At 37.0% G+C, this 26,764-nt stretch overlaps 1 protein-coding gene across 1 annotated transcript in view; it reads right to left on the reverse strand.

Annotated features, from left to right (window-relative positions):
• The window catches only part of MBD2 (methyl-CpG binding domain protein 2), a 73,064-nt gene that overhangs the window by 21,727 nt on the left and 24,573 nt on the right, over nucleotides 1–26,764 (reverse strand). Inside the window, exon 3 of the mRNA NM_003927.5 lies at nucleotides 15,542–15,679. Within this exon, the coding sequence (NP_003918.1) occupies nucleotides 15,542–15,679 (138 nt within the window). The remainder of the gene's footprint in view (nucleotides 1–15,541; nucleotides 15,680–26,764) is intronic.

Consider the following 26,764-nt stretch of genomic DNA (forward strand, 5'->3'; position numbering starts at 1 on the left):
AGGGTATGGCAGCAGAGCATTAAACCAGGCATGGCCCTTCCTTCTAAGTGAGGGGCTCTTTTAAGCACAAGGCCCTGTGTAACTGCACAGGTCACATGTCCACAAAGCTGGCATTGGTGGCAAGTATGACGCAGCAGTAGAAAGAAGGAGAGAAGAGTAGAGAAAGGAGGTCCCTGTGCTGTGCAGCAGTACGTAAGGAAAGGCTGGGATGTAATCTCATCCTGAAACTTTCTTAAAAGAAGGAGAACAACAGAAAACAGTTCTGGCCAGATCTATGCAATACAATCTATGCAATAAGGAAGGGAACCTTTCCTTAACTCCTCATTAAAATAATGCAAGGATTTTTCATCCCTGTTGTTTCTCATTGGGAGGAACAGAATCACTACTAAGGCTCTCCATGGTGGAGCAGTATTAGTAAGGAAGATTGGAAGACCAGGGAATGAGGAAACCAGTATCACGGGGAGGAAAGGACTGAAGCCTAGAAAAGGATCAGAATTTTGCTCTATTTAAAGCCCAGTGGAGAGCATGGATAGCTTTTAATTAAGATTTCCTAAAACTGTAATCTTCTTGTTATTTTTAGTCCATCTAGTTTCATGTTATGATGATGGTAAAGCCCTTAGAAAAACCTCAAAAGAGCTGTGAGCTTGTTTCAAGAATAGAAGGTGGGAGAGAATCAGGGAACACAGACTATATTTCTATGCTGCAATGAATCAAAAAAGGCAAAAACAACCTTAACCAGTAGCAACTGTCTGGAGCAGAATTTCTCAGTCTTGGCATTCTTGACATTTGGGGGTAGATGATTATCAGCTTGCTTGGTTTATACACCCACAAGATGTCAGTAGAAACACCCTAGTTGTGACAACCGAAAAATATCTCTGGATATACCAAATGTACCCAGGTAGGTGGGAAGTGAGGCAGTAAGAGGAAATGGAGGAAGCAAAATCATGTCTAGTTGAGAACCACTGGTCCAGAGAAAGAGAAAAAGGATAGGGAAATAGGAGGTTTATAAAGGCAGGTGCCCAGATCTCACAGCAGAAACAGAAAGAAGGGCCCCTGCCAGCATGCACCATCACTGCAAGCTCCTCTCTCAGTTCTCAGTAGTGTCTCTCCCAGCTCCTCATTCATGGGCCTTAGAAGAACCAATCTAAATGGCTTGGAGGTGGGTGCCTCTTTTTTTTTACTGCCAGACAACTAGGAGTGGTGGAGAATCCAGTCATTCTGGAAAGTAAGATAAAGCACAACTGGGAGAAACATTTCTTACCTCAGAAAGTTGATAGTCAATGTATTTGCTGCTAGAAATGTGGTTGTAATTATTTTTAACAATTCAGATATACTTTAGGTTAAATGGTATTTTATGGGTCGGTCTGGGACACTAGAGCCATTTATAATATCATTTCTATTGGAAGATGTAGAGTTCCAAATAAATGAAACATGAAATTTTATATCACAACCTATAAACTAGAAAGTGTCTGTACAGAGAGATTTTAGATTTTAGAAGGGGCTCTCTTATTTACCACAGGATCGGGGTTCCCACACATGTGTGAATCTGTCACTGACTACTGAGAAAGGCACGGCTCCATTTAGAATGACTTTAAGTGTTCAAATGTAGGTACAGCAGCAAAATAGAACAGACAGGTTTATTTGGAACATGTTAATTTCCATAAATTAGCAGGTAGCTATCAGTAGGTCTGGCTTATTCTTACATGAAAACTGGAGAAAATTCACCAAACTGAGCCACACAAAAACCTAAAACTTATTTTAGCTCTCATGTATTGTCTTAAAAAGCATCTTCCCTTTTGAAATTATAATCTCTATTAGAACAAAGTGAACTGACCAGAGGAACATGCTGAACTTCAATAATGAAACTAAGGGAAGTTCATCTAAAATTCCTACATATCCAAACTCCTGTTTTTTATTGTTTATTTTAGACACCATAGCTGAATATTAACCCCCAAGCCAAGAAGCCTACAGAGCAACTTCAGACTGACTAGAAAAGCCAGGCGTGAAGCCTGAAGGTCTAGAGCCTCTATGAACATCGTCCTTTCCACCTCAGATCTCCTCCTATTTTAGAGAAATAAGAATCCTGCTGCCCTCCTAAGGTTATCCCACCACCTGTGCTCCTGATCACATCTTCTACCTCCTCCTCATCTTGCCCCATCAATTTGCCCAACTTCTCTTCTCACATTTTCCATTTTTCCCCTCCTCCCCTGGGACTTCTTCTTTTAAGTGACAGATGCACTTGAACACTGACAACTTAAAACATGTCCTTATTCACACTGCTTCCCCCTCAAGCCATCTTTATCTTCCCCTCCCACTAGTAGAGAGAACTTGTGTCTTATTTCCTCACATTCTATTCATTCTTTTCCTTCTAACCCAGGCTCTGCCCCTCTTATTTATATGAACACTGACCTTGCCCAAGGTCACAGTCACCTAATTACCAAATCCAATTCCTAGCTCAAGCCTCCCCTGTCCTACTTCACTGATACATTCGCCTGCCGTCAGGGGACTGAAGACATTTTGTGATGGTTCTCTGTATGTTTCTGTATTCTTTACAACTATTCAGCAACAAATTAAAATGTCTAACATTAATTGTCAAAGATTTAGACTACAAGCATTTCTTTTCTTTTTTCTAATGAAAAAAATTTAAATGCGTAAGATATGTGATATACTTTTTAAAGTATATGAGGACAACAGTGTTAATGCCTTATAAAACAGAAGAAGCAAAAGTTACCTTAAAAATCTCACCATTTTTAGAGTTTTATCTGCAATCTACATCTGTCAAGAGCATGATGCTAGACACAAAATTCGCACTCAGATGTTTGTGGGATGAATATTTGGCTAAGTAGAGGGAGGACAGGGTGATAGAAAGCGCTGGTTTGGCAGCTAAATGCTTTAATCCTGGCTCAAACACTAAATAGATTTGCTTGGGCAAAGTACTTAAACTCTTTGCATATATTTTCACTAGTAAACTAGAAGTCTTAGTAACTGTCAGATCTATCTCAGGTTATCAAAACACTAATAAAATATGAGAAAGTTCTTTGAGAATACAAATCTTTTATCAAATTGCTCAGAATTTTTTTCTAATGTTAGGATTCCATCAATTGAATGAATATCTTACTTTCATAAGACAGTTACTAAATCTAATCACATAATAGAGACTCTTGTCACATAATTGTCGATTAAAGCAAAATCCAGAAAGTGTGTACTTTCTAGTCACTCTCAAAAGGCTAAATATACAAGACACTGGGTTAGGGCTACGTGGATGAATGGTGTTTCCTGCCAAGAAGAAATTCACTGTCCAGTTTCTAAACTGCTTTATTTCCAATCAGCCCCATATAGTATCTGAATTGTCTAGTTATGGTCAGCAAAAACAACTTAAATACCATGGCCTGCAAACATCAAAGATCAAGTATGAGCTACCCTCTTATTTTGTCAGGGTGGCCTAAGAAGAAAGAGCTAGATAATGACAAGAAAATTATTGCATAAACCAAGGAGAAGGTTACTTCGTGTGGCTGTGCAAACTACAATGTGATCTCTCGTTAAGGCAAAAGATAATTTGGGCTAAACAGGATAGATGAATAAACCAAAGGGCAAATTTTAGGGCTGATGAAGACAGAGGTGCAGTAAGCGTTTGCTGTAGTTGTTTGACTAAATTTTGCCATGAATACTCTCTAACTTACACACAGTGGGTATACAATACTTGTCAAGTGCCTGAAAAGGTACAATTATCCTAAGATGACCATGGAATAAGAGTATCATTCGTGGTGCCTAGATTTTTCATGTGCTCCTCCCACAGAAAAAGCTACAATCATTTTCTTATTGATACGCAAGTTCATATAGGAACTTAGATGTGCTCCTTCACTACTTTTCACATATTTGTCACATGTCAGTATACTTGGAATTATTTGCTCAGTGTTGATTTTCAGATTCAAAGTTTTATGAAGATGGGGGCATGTTCGACTTTTTTGTTTATATAGCACCTGTTAATCAGCAATATCTGCTGTGAAATGAATAAACTGATGATTTCAAAACCCACTCGACTGCAGGAACTTTGATCTCTAATAGATAAGGATCTATCATTAGTTCTTTATAAGAAGATGTGCGCTTAAGAAAAGCTTTCTTGAAACTAATCTCGGTAGTGTAAATTAATTCCTTTTTTTTTTTTCGAGACGGAGTCTCGCTCTGTCGCCCTGGCTGGAGTGCAGTGGCGCGATCTCGGCTCACTGCAAGCTCCGCCTCCCGCGTTCACGCCATTCTCCTGCCTCGGCCTCCGGAGTAGCTGGGACTACAGGCGCCCGCCACCACGCCCGGCTAATTTTTTGTAATTTTAGTAGGGACGGGGGTTTCACTGTGTTAGCCAGGATGATCTCAATCTCCTGACTCGTTATCCGCCCGCCTCAGCCTCCCAAGATGCTGGGATTACAGGCGTGAGCCACTAAATTAATTCCTATTCTTTCTGTAGGACACTAACAGGCACTATTTTTTTTTTCCTCTCTTTTTTTTTTTTTTTTTTTTTTGAGACAGAGTATCACTCTGTTGCCCAAGCAGGAGTCAGGGATGCAGTGGGTATGATCATAGCTCGCTGCAACCTGCAACTCCGGGGCTCAAGGAATCCTCCTGCCTCAGCCACCCGAGTAACTGGAACTACAGGCCCACACCACTGCGCCAGCTAGTTTCTTAAAAAATTTCCTGTAGAGATGGAGTCTCACTTTCTTGGCAGGCTGCTCTCAAACTCATGGCCTCAAGCAGTCCTCCCATCTCAGCCTCCCAAAGTGCTTGGATTACAGGCATAAGCCACCATGCCCAGCCGTTCTTCCTTTTTAATACCAATACATCGAGAAATAGAAGTACATATGCACTATTTAGAATATGACATTAATCAACCACTAGAATTAAAATCAGGTTATAAATCCTCAAAATTACCAGAAGTATAAATTTAAATGAAAAACCCAGACCACAGAACAAAAACAGAAATACCAAAAAATAATCACAAAATATTAAAAACAGTATATAAACACAGTGACAGAATTAGGACTAAACATATCTGTAAAACAATAAATGTAAGGGTAATCTCACCAATTATGAAAAAGACCTTCAGATCATATTTTAAAACAAATTTAAAAACTCAACTGTATGTTTATGCAAGAGACAGATTTAAAAATAAAGAGACTCAGAAAGCTGGAAATAAAAAGAAAGTGCAAAGAAATAGCAAACAAATACAGGCATAAAAAAAAACAAAGATCCCAATAGTACTATAAGATTACTTCAAGGCAACAGTGTCAAATAAGACAAGGCATAATCCATTATAAAGAAATAACTTCTATAAAAGAAATGTTTTCTTATAAAAAGAAATTTGATAGAATTGGATTTGAATTTCAATGAGGAAAAGCTCATATACAGACTGAGTTCAAAACTTGTTAGGAAAGGTCTCCCCAATACCTCATTCCACTTTTCATTTGGATACTACCAATATCAGAGAAAAGAATATCACAATAGATACTGTAAACATTAAAAATATTACTAGAAATATATAAACAATCTTTTGCCACTAACTTTGAAAATTATAAAATGCACAAATTCCTAGAAAATCACATGAAAAAAACTAGAAAGAAAAAATGAATATTCTTCCATGTATCTATTTTAAAAATTGAAGCCTGAGCAACATAGTGAGACCCCATCCCTACAAAAAGTAACAAAATTTTTAAAAACTAGCCAGGCGTGGTGGTGTGCACCTGTAGTCCCAGCTACTCTAGAGGCTGAGGTGTGAGGCTCACTTGAGCCCAGGAGGGCAAGGCTGCAGTGAGCTGTGATCACACCATTACACTCCAGCCTGAGCGATACAGCGAGACCTTGTCTCAAAAACAAAGAAAAAAAATGAATCTGTAAGTTAAAACTTTTCCATAAAAAAAATAGGCTGAGATGACCTCCCAATTAATTATTCCAAAAAGAAAATTTTGTTTTTTAAAAATGCCAATTTTATAGAAACTCTTCCAGAGACTATAAGAAGGATCACCTCCAAGCTCATTTTATAAAGCCAGAAAACCTTGATACTAAAGCTTGAGAAGCAAATTACAAGAAAAGAAAAGTACAAGTCAATTTCAATCATGAATATAAAGGCAAAACATCCTAAACCTAATAACAGCAACTCTAAACAGTGATAACAATGATAATACATTACAACCACATTGGGCTTACTCCAGGAATTCTAGATCTGTTTAACATTCAAAAACATCAAACAGTGAAATTAATCACATAAACCAATCAATATGATACACTTTATTAACAGAATAAATAAACATTATTTGATCACTTAACTAGGTAGAGGAAAATAATTGATAGAATTTAATATCCATTCATAAGAAATATTCTTAGTAAAACAGAAAGAGAAGCAAATTTCCTTAATCTGACAAAGAATATTTACAAAAAAGCCTAGAGCAAGTATCACATTTAATGGAGAAACATTAAAAATGTTCCCTGACATCACGAATGAGACTAGAATATCTGTTACCATCAATTCTATTCAACATTGTATTGGAAGTTCTAACTAATAAAATAGAAAAAGGACAAAAAAATCAAAGGTTTAAATATTGTTAAGAAAGAAAGAAGGAAAGAAAGAAAAACTCTCATTGACAGATGACATGTTTATTCACATGTAAAGTCCAAAAGAATCATAGGTGACTTAATAATTTAGAAGGATAACTGAAATCAGAGTCAATACACAAAATCAATTCATTTCTAATATTAGCAAAAGATAATTAGAAAATAAAAATTTTATAAATGACACCATTTACAGTAACCTCAAATATCTAAGAATCAATTAAAGATATATAAGATCACTAGACTGAAAACTATAAAAGCTTACTGGAGGAATACCTAAGATTCGTGGACTGTAACACTTAATATTATAAAAATATTAATTCTCCCCACAGATTTACATCCTAGCAGCATAAAGAAAATATTTTTGATGAGCATGTGGCAGAAATTTTAAAATCAGAAAAGGTTAACTATAATTATATTAGAAAACCTAACATAGAGTTATTAAGATTAAAAACAACAAAGAATTATGACAGAAAGGAGTGGCAGGGCATTACTTACCCTACCCAGAAAAATTTCCATTCATAATAACGTAAACCCTGACTATTTAACCTATTTACCTAAAATTGTGATACATCTAGGTTGGGAGCATGACGGCAGAGAGAGAGAACTATGTAGTCACCTATCCTTGGGGAAAGTAAAGAAATAATGGCTAAAATTAACAAAGACAGCCTAACAAGTATATTAATTAGAAATATGAAGATAATTATAAAGAGATATGATAAGAATTAAGAATAAATGTTTCTGGCAGAGACTAGAAGACTTAACTGGAGTAGTAAACTACTGTTTTGAGAAGTAGTTTTTAAAAACACTATTCGATTTTTTCATCTGTATTCCTATGTTACTTAGAGAAATAAAAAAAGTTCACAGATCCTCCCTCATGACAGTTGTCATGTTTTTAAAATGAACTAGAAAAATACACAATTATTGGTAACTATGAACCAACAGCCTATGTATTCCTTAATTTTTTCTTTTTCTTTTTTTTTTTTTTTTTTTTTTTGAGACAGGGTCTCATTCTGGAGTGCAGTGGCCTGATCTCGGCTCACTGCAACCACTGCCTCCTGGGTTCAAGCAATTCTCATGCGTCAGCTTCCCAAGCTGGGACTACAGGCACGCGCCACCATGCTCGGCTAATTTTTGGCATTTTTAGTAGAGATGCGTTTTCACCATGTTGGCCAGGTTGGTTTTGAACTCCTGGCCTCAAGAAATGTGCCTGCCTCAGCCTCCCAAAGTGCTGGGATTACAGATGTTGAGCCACTGCATCTAGCCTCATTCCTTAATTTTTAAAAATTCACATGTAATGTCTCAATTGCAATTCTTCCCTGCATAAAGACTGACCATATCTCCAGACTCTCTTGGGCTCTAGCCCATCATCTTTTACTAGCTCAACATGCAACAATTACTTTAAGAGTATAAATTTTCTACCACTCAAATTCATATTTTATTATTTTTAAAAAATATTGAGCTACCCTTTATTATGTCCATATTTCTGTCAAAGATATCATTCTCCCACTTTATTCTAAGATTCTTCATATAGGCAGAGCTGATAAGTCAATAAATTTTGTCAATTATTTATTTTATTCTTTTTTTTAAGACGGATTCTTGCTCTGTCGCCCAGGCTGGAGTGCAGCGGTGCGATCTCGGCTCACTACAACCTCCACCTCCCAGGTTCAGGCAATTCTCTGCCTCAGCCTCCCAAGTAGCTGGGATTACAGGCACCTGCCACCACACCCAGCTAATTTTTTTTGTATTTTTAGTAGAGACAGGGTTTCGCATCTTGGCCAGGCTGGTCTTGAACTCCTGACCACGTGATCCACCCGCCTCGGCCTCCCAAAGTGCTGGGATTACAGGTGTGGGCCACTGTGCCCGGCCATCAGTTATTGTATGACCAGCATAAAACACACCTTATCGCTTATGCCCTAACTTCTGTAAGAGTTTCTTCAGTGATCTCCTAACCCTGTCAGTCCTCATACTATATACAATTGACAGACTTCTGTCTAGAATGTTCCCTCCATATTTCTCTGCTTTTGAAGACCACATGCTCTCTCACTCTTCTGGTGTTTTTTTCATTGCACTTAACACAACATGATACATTATCTATACATGTATTTGTCTGACTCACTTCCTATTCTCACACTAGATGGAAAGTTCCATGACAGCAGGGACTTTGTCTTGTTCACTGCAGTATCCCATTGTTTAGAAAAGTACAAGGTGAAGGCTCAATAAATAATTTTTGAATGAATGAATAATTTAATTCACTAATTCAACTAATTTACATATTAAGCACTTACATAATAGAGAAATTGGGGATAAAGCAATGAATAACCTAATATAGTTGTGATCAGAAAAGAAGAAAGAAGAAACACTAAGGAATGTCTCTAAATCCAAACTTGGTAAATCAGGGGTTTTCTGAACAGAAGTGACATCTAAGTTCTTGATGTCACTTGAGAGATGAGTAAGAAACAGCCGCTGAAGGAGAGAAAGGAAACAGCATGAAATCTGATCAAGGTATGTAAGGGTCAGGGGTAGGGGATGAATAGCATATGCAAAAACCTGAAAAATGTTCCATATGATTTGAATGTAGAACAAGAGAAGAAGGTGAGGCCAGAGAGGTAAGCAAAAGGGCTTGGCAGTCATGTTAAAGTGTTCTGAATTTACCCTAAAAGCTACCAGAAAGCACTGCAGGGTTTTCAGCAGTATAACACTATTAACACTATCAGACCATCATGCCAGAGGAACACCTGCCTGCAATATGAAGAGTGAAGTAAGGGAACAAGACAGGAAGCACTTGCACCCAGGAGTTCAAGACCACCCTGGGCAACATAGTGAAATCCCATCTCTATGAAAAACACAAAATTAGCCAGGCATGGTGGTGTGCACCTGTGGTCCCGGCTACTCAGGAGGCTGAGGTGGGAGCATCACTTGAGCCCAGGAGGTTGAAGCTGCAATGAGTCGTGATTGCACTCCTGCACTCCAGCCTGGGTAGCTAAGCAAGTCCCTGTCTCCAAAAAAAAAAAAGACAAAAAGCAGAGAGATTAGATGAAATGAATAATAGTTACTTAGTCTCAGAACGGAGCAAGAGAACATTCAGGAGGTAGGATCGATAGGACTTGCTGGCTAAATAGACGCTTGGGGTGAAAGATAGGAAGAATCAAGGATGATGCTCAAGTTTCCAGCTTAGGCAGCCAAGCGGACAGTGGTCCTTTCACTGAGATAAAGCACATCTAATAAAAGGCAGATTTGATTGGATGACAAAGGAGTTCATAGAGATAAAGCAATAGATTACAGGTGCTGATGAGACTTCCAAGTGAACAATGTTAGTAGGAGAATTGACACAAACGACTGAAGCTCAGGATGAAGATATAAATTTGGAAATCATTAACATATGGATGATAACTGAAGCCATGAGAATGAGTGAAATTACCCATGGAGGGTTTACATACAAAAAAGAATGCATAGTATTCCCCGGGAAACCTCAACATTTTAAAAGACAGATAGAGAAAGAACCTAAGAAGGGGATTCAGAAAAAAAAGTATGAAGGAAAACAAAGAAAGTGTAGAGTCAAAGAATGAAAGCAAATGTTTCAGAAAGAGAGGTAGTCATATTGTTTAACGTTAAAGCAGGGCAAGAAATTTAAAGACCGAAACTTGTCCATTCAGTTTAACAAGGAACATCAGCAATTCTGAAAAGAACAGTTTCAGTGAGAACAAAAGCTATTATTTCAGAGACATAAACATACTGAGTAAGAGGTAAAGCAGATAGTAAACACACACAATGCCAAGAAGTTTGACTTTAACAAGAAAAGAAAGGGAACAAATGCTAAAAGGGGAGCAGTGAAGTGGATAATTTTTTTTAAGATGGGGTGGATTTGAGTATATTTAAATGCTTTGGGAAGAAGCCAGTTTAGAGACAGTTGGAAGATAAAAGGTAAGTGACATATTCCACTGGATGGGGTCTCTGAGAAGGAAGGAGGAAGTGTATCTGCAGAGTACAGGTGTTGGAATTAGCTTTAGGCCACCAGGATATTCCTTCAAGTTCAGTTCAGATGGGTAATATAAAAGCTACTCCCTAGTTAAAAAAGCTCTAAATGTTTCTCATTTTTAAAATTTAACACAAATGCCTCAGTCTATTTAACTTTATACATATTGAAATAAATATAAATTTAAAATAAAATGCCCTTTTAAACTACTGAATTACTTCCCCCCACCCAAAAAAAAAGTACTAATAATACTCAAAGCTATAGAAAAAGAGTCCCCAACCCCCAGGCCACAGACGGGTAGCGGTCTGTGGCCTGTTGGGAGCTGGGCGGCACAGCAGGAGGTAAGCATTACCACCTGGGCTCCACCTCCTGCCCAATCAGAGGCAGCATTAAATTCTCACAGAGGCGCGAACCCCATTGTGCTCTGCGCATGTGAGGAATCTAGGTTGCATGCTCCTTATAAAAATCTAATGCCTAATGATCTGAGGTGGAATGGTTTCATCCCAAAACCATCCCCCTCGCCCTCACCTGGTCCATGGAAAAATTGTCTGCCACCAAACCAGTCCCTGATGCCAAAAAGGTTGGGGACTGCTGCTATAGAAGGTAAGCTGAAACTGGAAAGTATCTAACTTATTGATAGTCTTTTAATTTGGTACAACCCTTTGGAATCAATTTGCTAGTATGTACCAAAAATGTAAATATTCACACTAATTATATTTCTGGGAATCTAGCCCAAGGAAACATTATAAAATATTGTTAGAAAATATTTTTTACATTTTAAAAATATGTCCAGCATATGTTTCATGCCTGTTCTAAAGATTTCCTCAAGCCTCCTAGCAACAGTAACCTCACTTTTCTTAAACACCTATAGCACTTGCCTGTACTACTCTACTATTCATTTGGCACTTTGTATATGGCATCTTCCCAACAGTACCCAGAGTAATATTTTTAAGTGTTATAGGACACATCCTCTATTTTCCCTGCCCAGACAGTCAATTTTTCTGTCCAGAGCAAAGGAATATATCCACCATGAGACTCTGCTTTAGCTTATCTATTTGTCAGTCATTAAGAACATTATAATGAGACTATACTAGAAATAACTGTTAGAGATTAGAAACAAGAAAATGCTGCTAGAATGCCTGAAATAGTAACCCTCTGGGTTTTAGCAACTGAAAGCTGATCTATTTTACACACTTTTCATACACAGTGACTTTAAACTGCACATTTACAAAATTTATCTTTTATCAGGAAAGTTTCTTCTAATACAATTTAAAACATTCCTTCTAAAAGAAAAGGCTGGCTTCTGGAAGTAGGTAAAGGAAAGTTTCATATCCTTGAAAGGGGAATTGGCAAAATGAAATAAAAGGAAAAAAATCTAAGATCAAGTGGAAGATTCAAATCTGCTTCTTTACTGTTAAACAATTACCCCTACAAAAAAGTGAATATTCTATAAGAAATGAAATTACTATTCAAAGACTGTCAAAAACACAAAAGCCTTTTAGCCCTCTATAATCTAATAATTAAAAGGAAGAAGTAATAGTTCAAAGATGAAGCTTCTTTGGTTTGAGGCTAAAAGAGAAAAAGAAGCAATCAAGAGACCAGATAGTATCAAAGATGACAGCAGCAAAGAAATAAGAAATAGAAATGGTAGTTCTTCACATTATGAAGGGGGTAAACTAGGAAAGGCATTGTTACCAGCAAAAATTACAACTCAATTAGACTAAAAAGACCTTGAGATGTGTTTTATGCATCTAGCTGAATAAGGATATTTCAGTGATTACTGTTTGGGATAATAGTCTGATAACTGGCAGAGTTCCCTCCTCCCCACTACAGGGGTCTTTTTAATCTAAAGAAAAGACAAGCAATCATCAAATACACTGATGCTATATACAAAAATGGCTGGCTACTACCCTATTATAACTAGGTTTTACAAATTCCATCACTACCTTAAAATTTTAATTATAAGTAGAAATCACTACTGAATTCTGTTTAATGCTTTTCTTTTCATACCCTAATTTGCACTTTTAAAGCTAAGGCATTTTCAAGGAGTCAATACATTAAAAATTCGTAATTTATATATTTTATAGAATTCAAATTAGGCTGCCATATAAATGACCTGGGCATAGGATGTTGGTTATAAAAGACAGAATTATTATTTTTAATGATTGCTTCTCATCTAAATTAAACATTTCAGATCTTCTCACAGTAAAGCCTAGTTAATATTCAGAAGCCTAATCCTAGTTATAGGCCTCAAAATTCAACACTTTAAAAGGAATTACAATATCACTATCTTGAACATCTTATTAAAAGAATGTGATACAAAGAATAAAAACATTTATATCTATGGGAACCTCAAAAATAGAAACCTCATTGTCTAATTCATTTACTCTCTAATAAAAATAACTTCTCCAATTGGAATATTTGGCAATTTATATTATCAACTGAATTCAATGAATCTAAGAATGGATAGCAAAATTGGAAGAATCATTTCTGCCTATGTATATTTTGCCAACTATCTCCTCAATTACAAATAGCTGATTAGCAGTCATCTACCATATGTATATCAAAATAGAATTAAAACCAACATCTTTCCTTTACTAACAAACTGAATCTAAACTGGAATACTTGGGATAACAGATCATGATTTTTAAAACATTAACATGAAAATTGTCTTTTTACTATTTTCCAATATTCTGCCCAATGCACAGTCCTATTGGTGAGACAGTGGTCAAATATTACCTCAATTCTTACATTGATGATAAAGAAAGAGGAAAGACAACTAATATCTTAGCACAATCAAAAGCATCCAGCAAAAATTGTCAGGTACCATAAGGATAAAGTAAAAAACAGCCAAAGCTTTTGGAGAAGTGGCCTGCTAAATAATTTTAAACACTTCCTGTCTATGCAAGCTAAAAGGAAGATTAAACCCTCAAAAGATCTGGGTTGAAATGACGTAAGTTTTTTGGGGAGAGATGGAGGAGATAGAACTTTGCTCTTTGGACACATACCTTTCATTTGAGAATAATCTCATACACCATAATAAAAGAAGGAAAACTTAAAACTATTCAACATACCAAAGAACAAGGAGCAACTAGTCTGGTTATTTCAACTTTAAAACTCTAAGTTACCAATATCTCTATAGCCAGGTAAACACCCAGTAAATAATTACTAGAGGTTTTTAAAACTGTGACTGAATTTAGGTGCAGAAAATAATTAAATTACTGTTAAAACGGCCAGAATTTGCTAATCAATTCATCTTTAAATAAAACATTTGGGTTTACAGACTACATTGAGAATGATTTGGCAAAGAAAAGATGAGGATAAAATCTATTAAATACTATCTGATCTCATAAGGAAACTCAAATTTCCAACGTGGAATGATATTACTAATTAAAGATTACATTCCACCTTCTTTATCTTTCAGAATTTTTGAAGCAAATCTGTTTTACCCAATTATATACTTTCAAAATTCTCAATTAATAAATATATTTTTGGGGAAATGATTTTTAAATCACCAAAAAGTCAAAGGACAAGATGTTCAAGACTTTAGACAGTATCTGAGAAAGAATACAACCAGGGAACGGCTTTATCAAGGTGGGCAAAGTTCAGAATGCCAGAATTCCTTCCCTGTTGTAATGAATATACTGCAACCTCCTGTGGTTTCGTGACTATCACTGGGTGTGGTAGTAAAACAGAAGGGAAAAGCCTCACACAGAAAGCTGAATGGCCCAAAGAAAACCTAAGTGGTGACAAGAGCCTAAAGGCACATGCAGGTACGCATCTTTTATGTTGGATGTGATACACTTACATGGCCCCTGTTGAATCTCTTGGGGACCAACAGTAAAGCAAGTTTAGAACTTCAAATCTTGAGACATCTATAGCAAGATGCTGATCCAATGTGGCTCCAAATATCTTCTGTTTTCCTGGCTCACCTGAAGAGGAAAAAACACTACAGAGGATGTGGGAACTGAATTTCTTTATGTAGTTTCTTCTAGAGCAACTGTCTGAAAGTTTTGGCCCAATCCTTTATGAAGTCTGGAGATGAGACACTTGAAGGACTAGTGAAAAACAAAATTCAAATGAAAAGGTAGAGTGAGACATCTAAAAGGGGAATACGAGAGCAAAAGATAACCGTCGTAGGTAAATCAGTGTTTCTAATCCTTAGGTGGACTCAGGTGGGAGGAGGCAGAGAAAGGAGAGAAAAAAAAACGCACAGATGTTTCTCCCTCCACTCCCTCACCCCAATTGCTACTAAAAATTCATGAACTACCTAGGCTTTTTGACCACAATTAGGGAGTGAATAAGTAAGGTTACGTGGAAGGTTTCAGCATTTTGTCCAGTCTCCCTCCCCGGGCTATATGGCATTAACAGGCAGCAGGGAGGCCTTTCAGGTAATGCTTTTTTTCTAAGAAAAGATTCTGGTGGAATACAGCTTGAAGCAATAAAGAAAGAGAAAAATAAATTGAATTGGTACAAAAATGGAAGTCACAGGACAATATACCATATTGACAAAGTTTATCTAATTCTGTTTTTCAAAAGGGGTGGGACAGATTTCACAAAACAAGAAATCAGAATAAAAAGTAGTTTTAGCTTCCAAATAATACAAAATATTTTTAAACTAAGCAACACAAACTACATGCTTCATTCTTCTATGAAATATTATCCTTGGAAAGATAATCTTTAAAAAACTAAGATTAGCAGAACCAAGTCTGATGTATATTACCACACGAAAAGCATAAAAATTTAGTCCATATTATGAATTAGATTCATTATTAACTTCTTAAATTTTTTCTTAAAAATATTTTACCTAAATTTTGCATACTTCAGCATTCATGTAATAGCCTAGGACATAAAATAATTTTCTTTCCAAATATACTCCATTTTAACCAGAATTTATTTGAATTATTTCTGGTAAAAATACCAGCATTTTTCTGAAAAATAAGATTGGAGAACGAATTAGATCCTTACCTGACGTGGCTGTTCATTCATTCGTTGTGGGTCTGATTTCACTTTATTACTAGGATGATTTGTGACTTTGGTTACCGGTTGTTTGAAAATTGATGCTGTTTGTCTAATTGGCAATGTTGTATTCAAGTCTGGTTTACCCTGTGAATATAAATGTATTTTTATTTAAAATATTATATATAAACACAATCAGATGACTTCCTACTAATTCAATATCTATTACTTTAAATCAAATTATTCCAAACTTCTCAGTCTATCGCAGCATTTTAAATACTCTAGGGTACATGTTAAGCACCTAATAAGTGAAACATGTATGAAGTTTCCTCAAAATATATGAAAAACTTTTTGTATACTTTTTTTTTTTTTTTTTTGAGACGGAGTCTCACTCTGTCGCCCAGGCTGGAGTGCAGTGGCGCGATCTAGGCTCACTACAAGCTCCGCCTCCCGGGTCTGCTTACGCCATCCGCCTCAGCCTCCCGAGTAGCTGGGACTACAGGCGCCCGCCACCAAGCCAGCTAATTTTGTGTATTTTCAGTAGAGACGGGGTTTCACCATGTTAGCCAGGATGGTCTCGATCTCCTGACCTCATGATCCACCCGCCTCGGCCTCCCAAAGTGCTGGGATTACAGGCGTGAGCCACCGCGCCCGGCCAGCTTTTTGTATACTTTTAAGTGTAAGAAAATTCTCTACATAAATTTCCTATCTGATCAGCAAGGCACTAATGACTTTTAAATGAACAAATATGTTTAAGATTGGTTTATCCAAAAAAAGAACTTGGGGTTTTGCTTGTTTGTTTAGGGGCAGGGTCTCACTCTGTTGCCCAGACTGGAGCTCAGTGGCATGATCATGGCTCACGGCAGCCTTGACCTCCTGGGCTCAAGCAATCCTCCGACCTCAGCCTCCCGAGTAGCTGGGACTATAGGCAGTGCCACCAGCAGGCTAAGTTTTTGTATTTTTTTTGTAGAGATGGGGTCTCCCTACATTACCAGGCTGGTCTCAAACTCCTGGACTCTAGCAATCTGCAGGCCTCAGCCTCCCAAAGTGCTGGGATTACAGGTGTGAGCCTCCACACCTGGCCAAGAACTTTAAGGATACCAATCAGGATAGCAATCATTTCTACATTCTGAGAATGGAGGAAAATATTGGCATACTTGGCATTAAAATATAAACAACCTGATCAGCAATTAGGAGGCCAGACTTACATAAAACCACATAAATTAACCTCTTTTATATAAAAACAAATATGTACAAATGGTAGTTCTAATTCCAGCAAACAGAACTCAATTTAGAAAAATGTGATAAGGAAGTGTTCCTTATTTTTAATATACAGTAGGTCTTTGAATAATGTCGTTTTGTTCAATGTCATTTTGTTATAACGATGAGAAAAAAAAATCCATTCCCAGCCTAAGCCCATCTGTGTGAATTTGGCATGTTCTCCCCAGGTCTGTTTGGGTTTTCTCTGTGTACTCCTGTTTCCTCCCACATCCCAGTGATAAGTGCACTTTAGGTTCAGTGGAGCATCCACATGGTCCCAGCCTGAGTGAGCGTGAGTGCGACCTGTGATGGGATGGGGTGCTGTCCAGGGTGGGGTCCCGCCTGGCACCCTGAGTTGCTGGGAGAGGCTCTGGCCACCCACGACCCTGAACTGGAATCAGTGGGTGAATAATAATCTTGTTTATATTAATCTTTCTTAAATGTGTGGAGAGCTCACGTTAATTTCAGTGTTTATCATTAGAAGTGTTTTGGTCTTTATTTAGAAGTTTGGGATGTTTTGTGACCAGAAATATGCCACAGGAACTTAATTTTTGTTTACATCAATTAGCCTAGAGTAAATATGTTTCATTATACATCATATGGCTAAAAGTCAGTTTCCAAGAACCTATCAACAACATTAAGTGAGGACTTACTGAATATTATATTTAATACTTTTAAAGGAGACTTAACACTGAAGCTTCGTAAAGCCATATAACTTATTTACCTAGTTTTAATCAATCAATCAATAAAATCTACGATGTGTTCCAGTGAGGTCAAAATGTGGCACAGAATTGCTATTAAGTTCATTTGCAATACTCTTAACAAACAAGAAAGAAAAGGGAGAAAACACAATTATCGTGTTTTCTCAGATTCTGGCAAAAAGGATGAAGTAACATATACCTGAAAACAAAATACGTCTGATATATTTTTGATATTTACAGGATATTTGATGAACTTTTATCTTTACTACTACCCCCACATATAAATTGTAATCTCAACTTCCATGCTCCAGAACAGGGGTTCTCAAGCCTGAGCATGCATCAGAATCACCCAGAGGGCTTGTTAAAACACAGGTGACTGAGTCTCACCCCTGGCACTGGGCATTCAGCAGGTCTGAGATAGGGCCTAGGAATTTGCATTTCTATTAAGGTCTCAGGTGATATTGATGCTGCTAATCCTGGGACCACACCTGGAGAAACACAGCTCTAAAACAAAGATTGCAATTTGATGGCAGGTGGATCAAGCCTAACCCAGAGATGAGTGTTCATTTTTTAGTGCCTTTAATGAATTAAGTCAGCACCTAAAAATCTAGAGTCTTCATATAAAATCCAGAATTCTAGCTTCTCTTAAAAACTGAAAGATCTAGAAATACTGGACTTGGTTTGGCAACAATAGGCTGTGACTGATTAGAAATGGCTGTCCAGTAGTGGCCTCAGGGTCTCCTGTTGCAACATTCCTCAACAAGTCACATTTGCATTACCTGTCTGGGCCCTGCAGGCACTGAGTTTGTGACCTCTACTTAAAGAACATTAGCATGCCTAGAAATGTAAGCCTCACAATAATCTGACAATTATTACAATTACAGTATTCTTTAGATCCAATATTAAATGTGTCCTCACCTCTACACCTCTCCACACAACACAGCCCTCCTGTTTGTATTGGGCAATCCTGTCATTCCTTTATCTCATTTTTTTCCCCCAATGTCTCTGCTTACCTTTAAAAGATATGCTCATCTCAAATGACTAACAGTATTATTTCTCAGGTATTTAGCTTTATCTTTATGGATTTTCAAAAAATATATAAAATGTGCAAATTTGGCTGACAAGCTGCAAAGTAACCACTTAGGTTGCTAACTCTACGAAGTGTGAGGCTCAGGAGTACGCATTTTAAATGCTCTCCTGGTCATTCTGTGATGCAAAGAAAGTTTGAACACCTCTGATTTATGACATCTCGACCATTTGGAGGCCCTAAGTGAAGTCACCCAACCTGTTAACAACAGTAGACAATATTCAATCCTTAAGCAGCTTCACACATAAATGCTTACAGGGAACTTCTTGTCACTAATTAGGTATAATCAGTATGTATCACTAAACGATGCCTTGTTTGGCTTTTAATGTTTTTGTTCTTGAGACGGAGTCTTGCTCTATCACCAGGCTGGAGTGCAGTGGCGCGATCTTGGCTCACTGCAACCTCTGCCTCGTGGGTTCAAGCAATTCTCCTGCCTCAGCCTCCTGAGTAGCTGGGACTACAGGCACGCACCACCACACCCAGCTAATTTTTTTATTTTTAGTAGAGACAGGGTTTCACCATGTTGGCCAGCATGGTCTCGATCTCTTGACCTTGTGATCTGCCTGCCTCGGCCTCCCAAAGTGCTGGGATTACAGACATGAGCCACTGCACCCAGCCTTTGTTCTTAATAAAGAATGATATACTCTGCTGGTATTAGAACAAAGGTGGCATCATGTGTCTACTTCAGTAGACACACAGAAGTATTTGCAACCGTCTGCATGAGTAAACATATTCAAACCTGTGAGATTCTCATTGTTACCAAGGATGACTGGAGGCAACTACTCTAAACTGTTTCAAACTATGAATCCTGAATCCATGAAGACTGGAAGGAAGCATGGAACAGGTCAAACTATTGATGCTACACTGGTAAGATGGACGTTCTTCCATTCACTTATGTTTCTGTGCAATAAAAAAAAATTAAAAGAAAAGCCTGGCTAAAATATTTAAGATATACAACTAACTTCCATTGTCTAATGAGACAGTTCATTCCCTACTGGCACAGAATGAGACATTATTCAAAATGTGCTGCATTATTCTTCACTCAATCTTATTTTGGTTTTTAGTATTTTTTCTCCTTTTAACTGGCCTAGAAGCTCTGACGACAGAATGTCTTTAATTTATTATTCTAAAACAGTATCACATGAAGCTGAGCAATCTGTAAAGCTGGACTAACTAGTTTTCCCAGGAACTGTCAAAGAAACAGTCAATTCTATTACCTCTACCCTGAGGACTGCCTTGAGTCACTATTAATTTATGCCCAGTTGTGTGTCTGAGTTTTTCTACAGTTTAGTTTAGAATCTAAAGGACCAATCTACCATCACCGTCGGAGTTAAAAGCCAGACACTTTTTTATGGGACAAGATTAAAGCTGTTTATGTATATGCAATCTTCTTATATCTTCAATATAAGAAAAAGTGAAGCAGAAATTCTTTGTTACAAAATTAAACTGGCAAACACATTCTAATATCAGAACTAAGTTTCCAACCTTTGACAAAACTATGTACAGACTAGCCCTCAAATCAAAATTTAATACATTTTATAATAATGTGTATATTAGGCTGAAAGTATTTTTCTTGAGGATCTATTTTATCCCCTAGTTGCAGGGAGGAACATAAAAATAAATCTTTCTTATTTTTAAAAATTTTACTTCCTCTCTTTCCAGTAAGTATCTGAGATATATCTTTTGTACACTCCCAAAGGACAAAATACACAAAAATTAATTTTTAAAAACAGAAAATCAAGAACAAGGAAAAAAACAGATATCCTTTGGAAAAGATCAATAGTGATACTAGAGCTAAGCATCAAATGTGGATCTGAATTTTCAAGGGGCCTGGGCAAAGAGAGAAACATTCAATTACACAGATACCATGGTCAGAAAGGAGGACGCATACCAAGTAATGAGGAAAACAAAAAATGTCCAGGTATTAAATCTAGAAGAAAATCGATAAAGACACTAAACTTCAAAACAAATATTAAGCAGATTTCAAATGCTCTTTCTTTTTTCAGTGACTTTCCATGAAAACCAAGAACATAAGACTTAAAGGACAACTCAGTAAAGGTGAGTCTGAAAGGGCCTAATTATTGTGTAACCTTCCAATGATCTCACATGATTAAGGATACAAGAGAATAACTAAAGAGGCAGATGAAGAACATGTATCATAAGCCAGTGGCTGTCAAATATTTTTGTATTTCTACCCCTTATGAGAAATTTGAAAATATATATACCCCACCTGCATTTTAAAGTCAGCAAGAATATTTCATATTTTAATGTAATCAGTTGCAAAGGATGCACTTACCAGAATTTAAATGCTAATATTTAATAATAAACTGTTAAATCTAACAGAATCTAAATGCACCCACCATTACCTACATTACCTATTTATATACGAACAAACTCTTCAATGGTTATAAATTTTCATTCCCTTTACTCTTTGAATAATTCCATTTCCAAACTTATTTCTTATTTTAAACCTGATAATCTTTCACTGATCATGAAATTATTTCACTTTCTGTGACCATAAAGCTCTTAGTGATAAAACAACAAATTTCTTCTGGTTTATTATAATTATTAGTATATATGTGACCAAAATAAAGTATTACAATTTTTAGTACCTAAATTACATATATAGAAGTTGTGTGTGTGTGTATATATATATATATGTAGCTTAATGAAAAAAATTTTTTAAATAATTTTATGTTCTCAAGTGTGTATTACTAATTGCTAGAATGGGACAAGGTATAGCATCAATTCTATTCCTAGTCTTCCTTTTTCATAGATGTAGCACTGAGAAATGTTGTTCACATTAATGAGTAGATAGAATGAATTTTATTCCACGCCATTCAAATTCTCTGAACTCCTTTTGAGTTATATGATAGAATGTAACAGTGAACCATCAAAAAAATTTAACAATCAGTCAACATCTACATAAAGTCCTCTAAATTTTGTTGAAAGCAAGTAATTGTACTTGTGGAAAGAACTGACTGTGCCTGAGTCATTCGTGTTCTCAATCCAGTATCTCATAGTGTCCCTTTATGATATCAAACATTTTGTACCATGGTAATATTGCATACAAGTGAGAAGTATGCTGTTCTGTAAAATGGGAGGTTGACTATAAAGGAGAATTACAGAAAAAATAATGTGTACTTCTATCACAGGTTACATTCTCAGATCAGCTGAAGGAAAGAGTGTATATGGAATTTAAAGATATCGAAATGGATTCCTTTAAAACCATCCATGTCTATGAATATCATGTAAAGCCTCCACACAGCATAGTTTGAGCACCAGGGACTTACGCTATACTATATTGTAAATACCACTTTTTTTCAGTATGGCTTTGAAATAAAGTGATATGACAGTTCAAATTGTACATATTCTAGGGTCCAAGCCTAGTAGACTCATTTTATCTTTAAAATTCACACAAATTTTGCACGTTACCTTAAACATTAGTCATGTTTAAGGTAAAAATGTTGCTCTACCTACCCAAAATGTTCAAATAAAACTGACAATTCCAAGTATTATTCAAGCGTCATTTTAATTCTGTGGTTTTTGCATACACCGCACACTCCCCAAAAGATACTCCAATTTGAGAAGCAGAGACTATATCTCTAAGGTCAGTTTCCTCATCTGTAAATGAGAATAATAATAGCTATTGGATAAAATTCTTATAAAAATCAAACGAGATAATGCATGTTATGCTGCTGCTGCTGCTACAAATGCAGCTTTCATTCAGTTGATCATTGAACAAAACTGAGTGCCTACTATGTGGCAGGCACTAACTGGACCATCCATATATAGTCATAAAAAAAAAGAAAAAAACCAGCGCTTAGTAAAACAAGTTTAGAGTTTATAGTCATGTTGGTACAAATTCTAAATAAATAGCAGTTATTTATTTAACCTAAACAGGTTATTGAACATGCTATTAAAATTTAGAAATTTAACCTGTTAAGTTTTCCCAGAAATAAAGCTATCCCCTGGTTCAAACAAAGGTGTGCCTGAGTGATACCTTTAGGTCAAATCAAGGCTATTCTCAAAAAGTAATTGGAGATTTGCTCCAGAATATATACGGTAGTCCATAGTGAATGTCTTTCCACAAAATCAAATGCCAACAATGGAAAGTGCCTTACAATTCTTCGTAAGTTTTTAATTAATATAATTCACATACCACAAAACTCATCATTTTAAAATATATAATTCAGTGGTTTCTAGTATATTCACTAATTTGTGCAACTTCATAGGTTTTTACAAAAAGTAAAGAAAAAATTATCTGGTACCCATGATGTCTATGCAGAAAATCCACTTAGTCTAATATTCTATATGGGTAACAAGATTTTTTAAAGGAGATTAATGGCATATTAAAATATTAATAGGATGGATGGAGTATACTTTGAGCTCATTAAAAAGGACTACACCTGTTCACAGAAGAATGATTACAATTCATCAATGAAAACACGTTTTGAAGAGTTCTGCTTGAAAAATAACTTACTGGAGCTTTAGTTAATGTAACGGACATCACCAAAGATGCCAGAGTTTCAGCCAGATATCCTAGAACAGTCCTACTCAAACTCAGACAGTTATTCTATGGCGTTAATCATCTCCTTTACTTCTCAGTTGGCATTAGCTATGTACACATCCTTGGGAGAACTATGGAAATAGTGACACAAATGGTTTTCTGTAGGGCTTAATTCTATTGCTGACCTGGAGTCTGCAAGTTAGGTTAACTCTTCAGGACCTATAAAAGTTCTGTTAACACCTGGGCATACCAAACAAATCTTGTTAAAGCCATATCATGGACAACTCTGTCTCCGAATCTCCCTTCATGATTATCACTATAGCCAAGTCCAGACCCTCTCAGAAAGTTCTATCACGCTTAGACACATTTGAAGCACTAGTTTATAATATAATACAGCTAGTATCATACTGAACAAATCATTCTCATCAGCAAGCCTATTTGCTAACATGGCTAACATTCTTCTGTCACTCTGCTTCCTAGCAATCGCTATCCAATCAATAGCTACATGACTCAAATTAGCCAAAAAGATGGAACAGTACTATTATTAATAGCTAATAACCTGATTATCTTCATTAGCTAAAGAATATCAGCTAAATATCCTTTATGTATTCACTTATTAAAAATATTTCTGTATACGAGAAAATTAGAAGCTCTTTGAACAAGAGAACATGAACTCGTTCTACTGTCTTTTGCTACATCTTTCCCTTTCTTCCTTTATTCATTCATTAAACCAGCACTGTCCAAGTCATCATCATCCCCACCTGGACAAATACAACAGCTTCCTAACTGGCCTCCGACTTCCACTTCTGTGTCTCTACATTTTCCACACACAGTCAAAGCAGTCGTATTTCCCCCTATGTAAAACCCTCAGACAGCATTCTATACTATTCCTTATGCTGGCTGGCACAGCCCTATTACCAGGCTTGCCTACTTAAACCTCACCTAGTACTACTCCTCCACTCCCTAAGCTCCAGCCAACCTGGCCTTTTTGTCTTCACATGATGAGTGCATCCTTCCTTAGGGAATTTACACTGGCTACTGCCTCTACAAGGAAAGCTTCTCCTTCTGGTTTTGTATAGCACCTCAAATGTTGAATATTTAAAATTGATTTTATTTACTCACATAAATTATTTCCCTAAAGTGACCTCAGTAAATGGCACCTCTATCTACCCACTTAATCTAAAAACCAAGAACTCACCCTTTAGTACTCTTTTTGTGTTATGCTCTACACACGACTCATCAGCAAAACCAGTCAATCCTATTTTCAAGAGATTTAGAATCTGTCCACTTCTATCTCCACGGGCACGCGTCTAGATCATCATTATCATCATCAAAATCATCATCATCATACTACAACAGCTACTTGCTCCTCACTTCTACTTTTGATTTCAGTATCAAATTAATAGAAACCTGTACTCAACAGTGGCCCACACTTATCCCTTGGAGGGACTTTAGGGCCTAGAAATGCTAGACTTATCACCTACGACCTATTCGTTCCCCTTCCCTGTCCCCAACTTTATCTACAGAGACCAGACAACACTCAGTTGAGCAAGACTTTAATAACTGACAAAAAGGGTATCAGTATCTTTGGCAACAATTTTACTTTCTCCATAGGTCAGGAATGTTGGTGGAATAAATGAAGTCTTTGTTTTCAGTTTGGATGGAGGAATCCTACGAAGGTAGAAGCCAAGAGGCAGTTCTTACCACACTATGCCCTACCAGGAGCTGGTCATCAGAATGGTCCTACCACAGGGCTCTGATGGTGGTGAACTGACCATGAAGTACCTCAGGCAGAAATAAGTCAACCCAGTAAGGCATTACTTCATTAACTGAAAAATCCATAGTCAAACAAATGCCTAATCTGAGCTGCAGCAAGTGACCTGGCTCTTCACCTACTCCCTCACATCTTCTGCCAAGCTCCTTCTCCTGCTTTTAAAAAAGTGGTTATTTTTCAGTTATAGATTCCATTGAGAATTTGAGGAAAATAAGCTCTTGGAGAAATGTACACAAGGCTGGATGCTGTGGCTCACGCCTGTAATCCTAGCACTTTGGAAGCCAAGGCAGGTGGATCGCTTGAACCCAGGAGTTTGAGACCAGCCTAGGTAACATGGCAAAACCCTGTCACTACAAAAAATACAAAACGTTAGCCAGGAGTGGTGGCCTGCACCTGTAGTCCCAGCTACTCAGGAGGCTGAGATGGGAGGATCACCTGAGCCCAGGTCAAGGCTGCGTGAACTGTGATTGCACCACTGCACTTCCCCCTGGGTGAGAAAGTGAGACCGTCTCAACAATAAAATGTACACACACAAAAATTGCACACAATTCAAAGGTTCCTGGAGGTCTTTCTGAGGCATGGTCGCCCAGATTAGAAACCTCCCTGCCTACTGGTTCCTTCCAAGCTGACCTCTTTAAATCTTTAAAGGAAAAATAACCATAATGTTCTTTGATCATGCATTCTCTTCTGAATATTGTCTTCTCTCTTCTTCTCATTCAAGCTTCTTAAGAGTAGGCCAACCATTTGTGAGGAAAGGGGTAAAAAATGCATGTATGTGTACATGTTTGTAAATGCATATAAGCTCTAGACAAACATACAAAAAGCCTCATTAACAAGTTTCCTCTAAAGAGGATTGGGACTAAGAGACAGGAGAGAGGGAGACATTTTTCACTGAATATCCTTTTCATTATGGGCCCAAATTACTTAACCAAATAATAATAAAATTTTAAAACATTTGAAAGAACAGGCACATTGTGTTTCTAGTCTCTCATTTCCCAGAAACTTTCTGGAATTCTAAATAGGACTTATCCTTTCTATCCATTGAAACTGGTAAAGTCACCAGTTGCTTCATAATTTAGAAATCCAATGGCTAGACAAAGTCTTTATCCTCCCTGATCTCTAACAAAAATCTTGTTTTCCAGGTTGTTGTAACACCACATTCTCTTGATTCTCCTATTTATTTTCTGGAAGGTCCTCTTACTCTCCACAAGATTCATTTATTCATTTAATTCATGGACCTACAGAGTGACAAGATACACTTCATTTGTCCTTATTTTGGGCATTATCAATGACAAAAACACTATGAAAGGAGTTCTCAAAGTGTGACCTGAGAATTCCTGGGGGTCCCCAAGATCATTTTGGAAGTCCAAGAAACAAAACTATTTTAACTCGATCTTCCTCACTCCACCCCCAAAACTTGCCCTTATTCCCCTATTCCCTGACTCCTCTGCCCCAAGTGACCAAAGCCAGGGTTATTGCAGCATCCATTCTCTTTGTGTAACCATCAGGTACTTACATCTAATTTCTCGAGTCTCACCTTTCCATACTTCCTGCACAGAATTCATTCAGGCCATCTTTATTTTTCTAGACTACAAGAGCCCAACTATTCTCCCTACTTCTAGTTTCATCCCTTCCCAAATCCAGTCTCCATACTGTGCCCCACTCTATATACCCAAATCTGATTCTTATCATCACTACTAAGTTTCTCAAACTACACAGAAATTGCCACCAAGATAGGTAAGCTCTCCACAAAATTTTTTATTATTGTTGATAATTAAAACAAGTACTTTCTAGATCATGTGACTGAGAACCTAGTATACAGCCATATACCAATCCAAGTGTGTATTTATACTCACAAAAACATACTACCACCTTAAACCAAGATCATTCATGAGAAATA

This window comes from Homo sapiens, chromosome 18 (genome assembly GCF_000001405.40).
Source record: "Homo sapiens chromosome 18, GRCh38.p14 Primary Assembly".
Classification (NCBI taxonomy): Eukaryota; Metazoa; Chordata; class Mammalia; order Primates; family Hominidae; genus Homo; species Homo sapiens.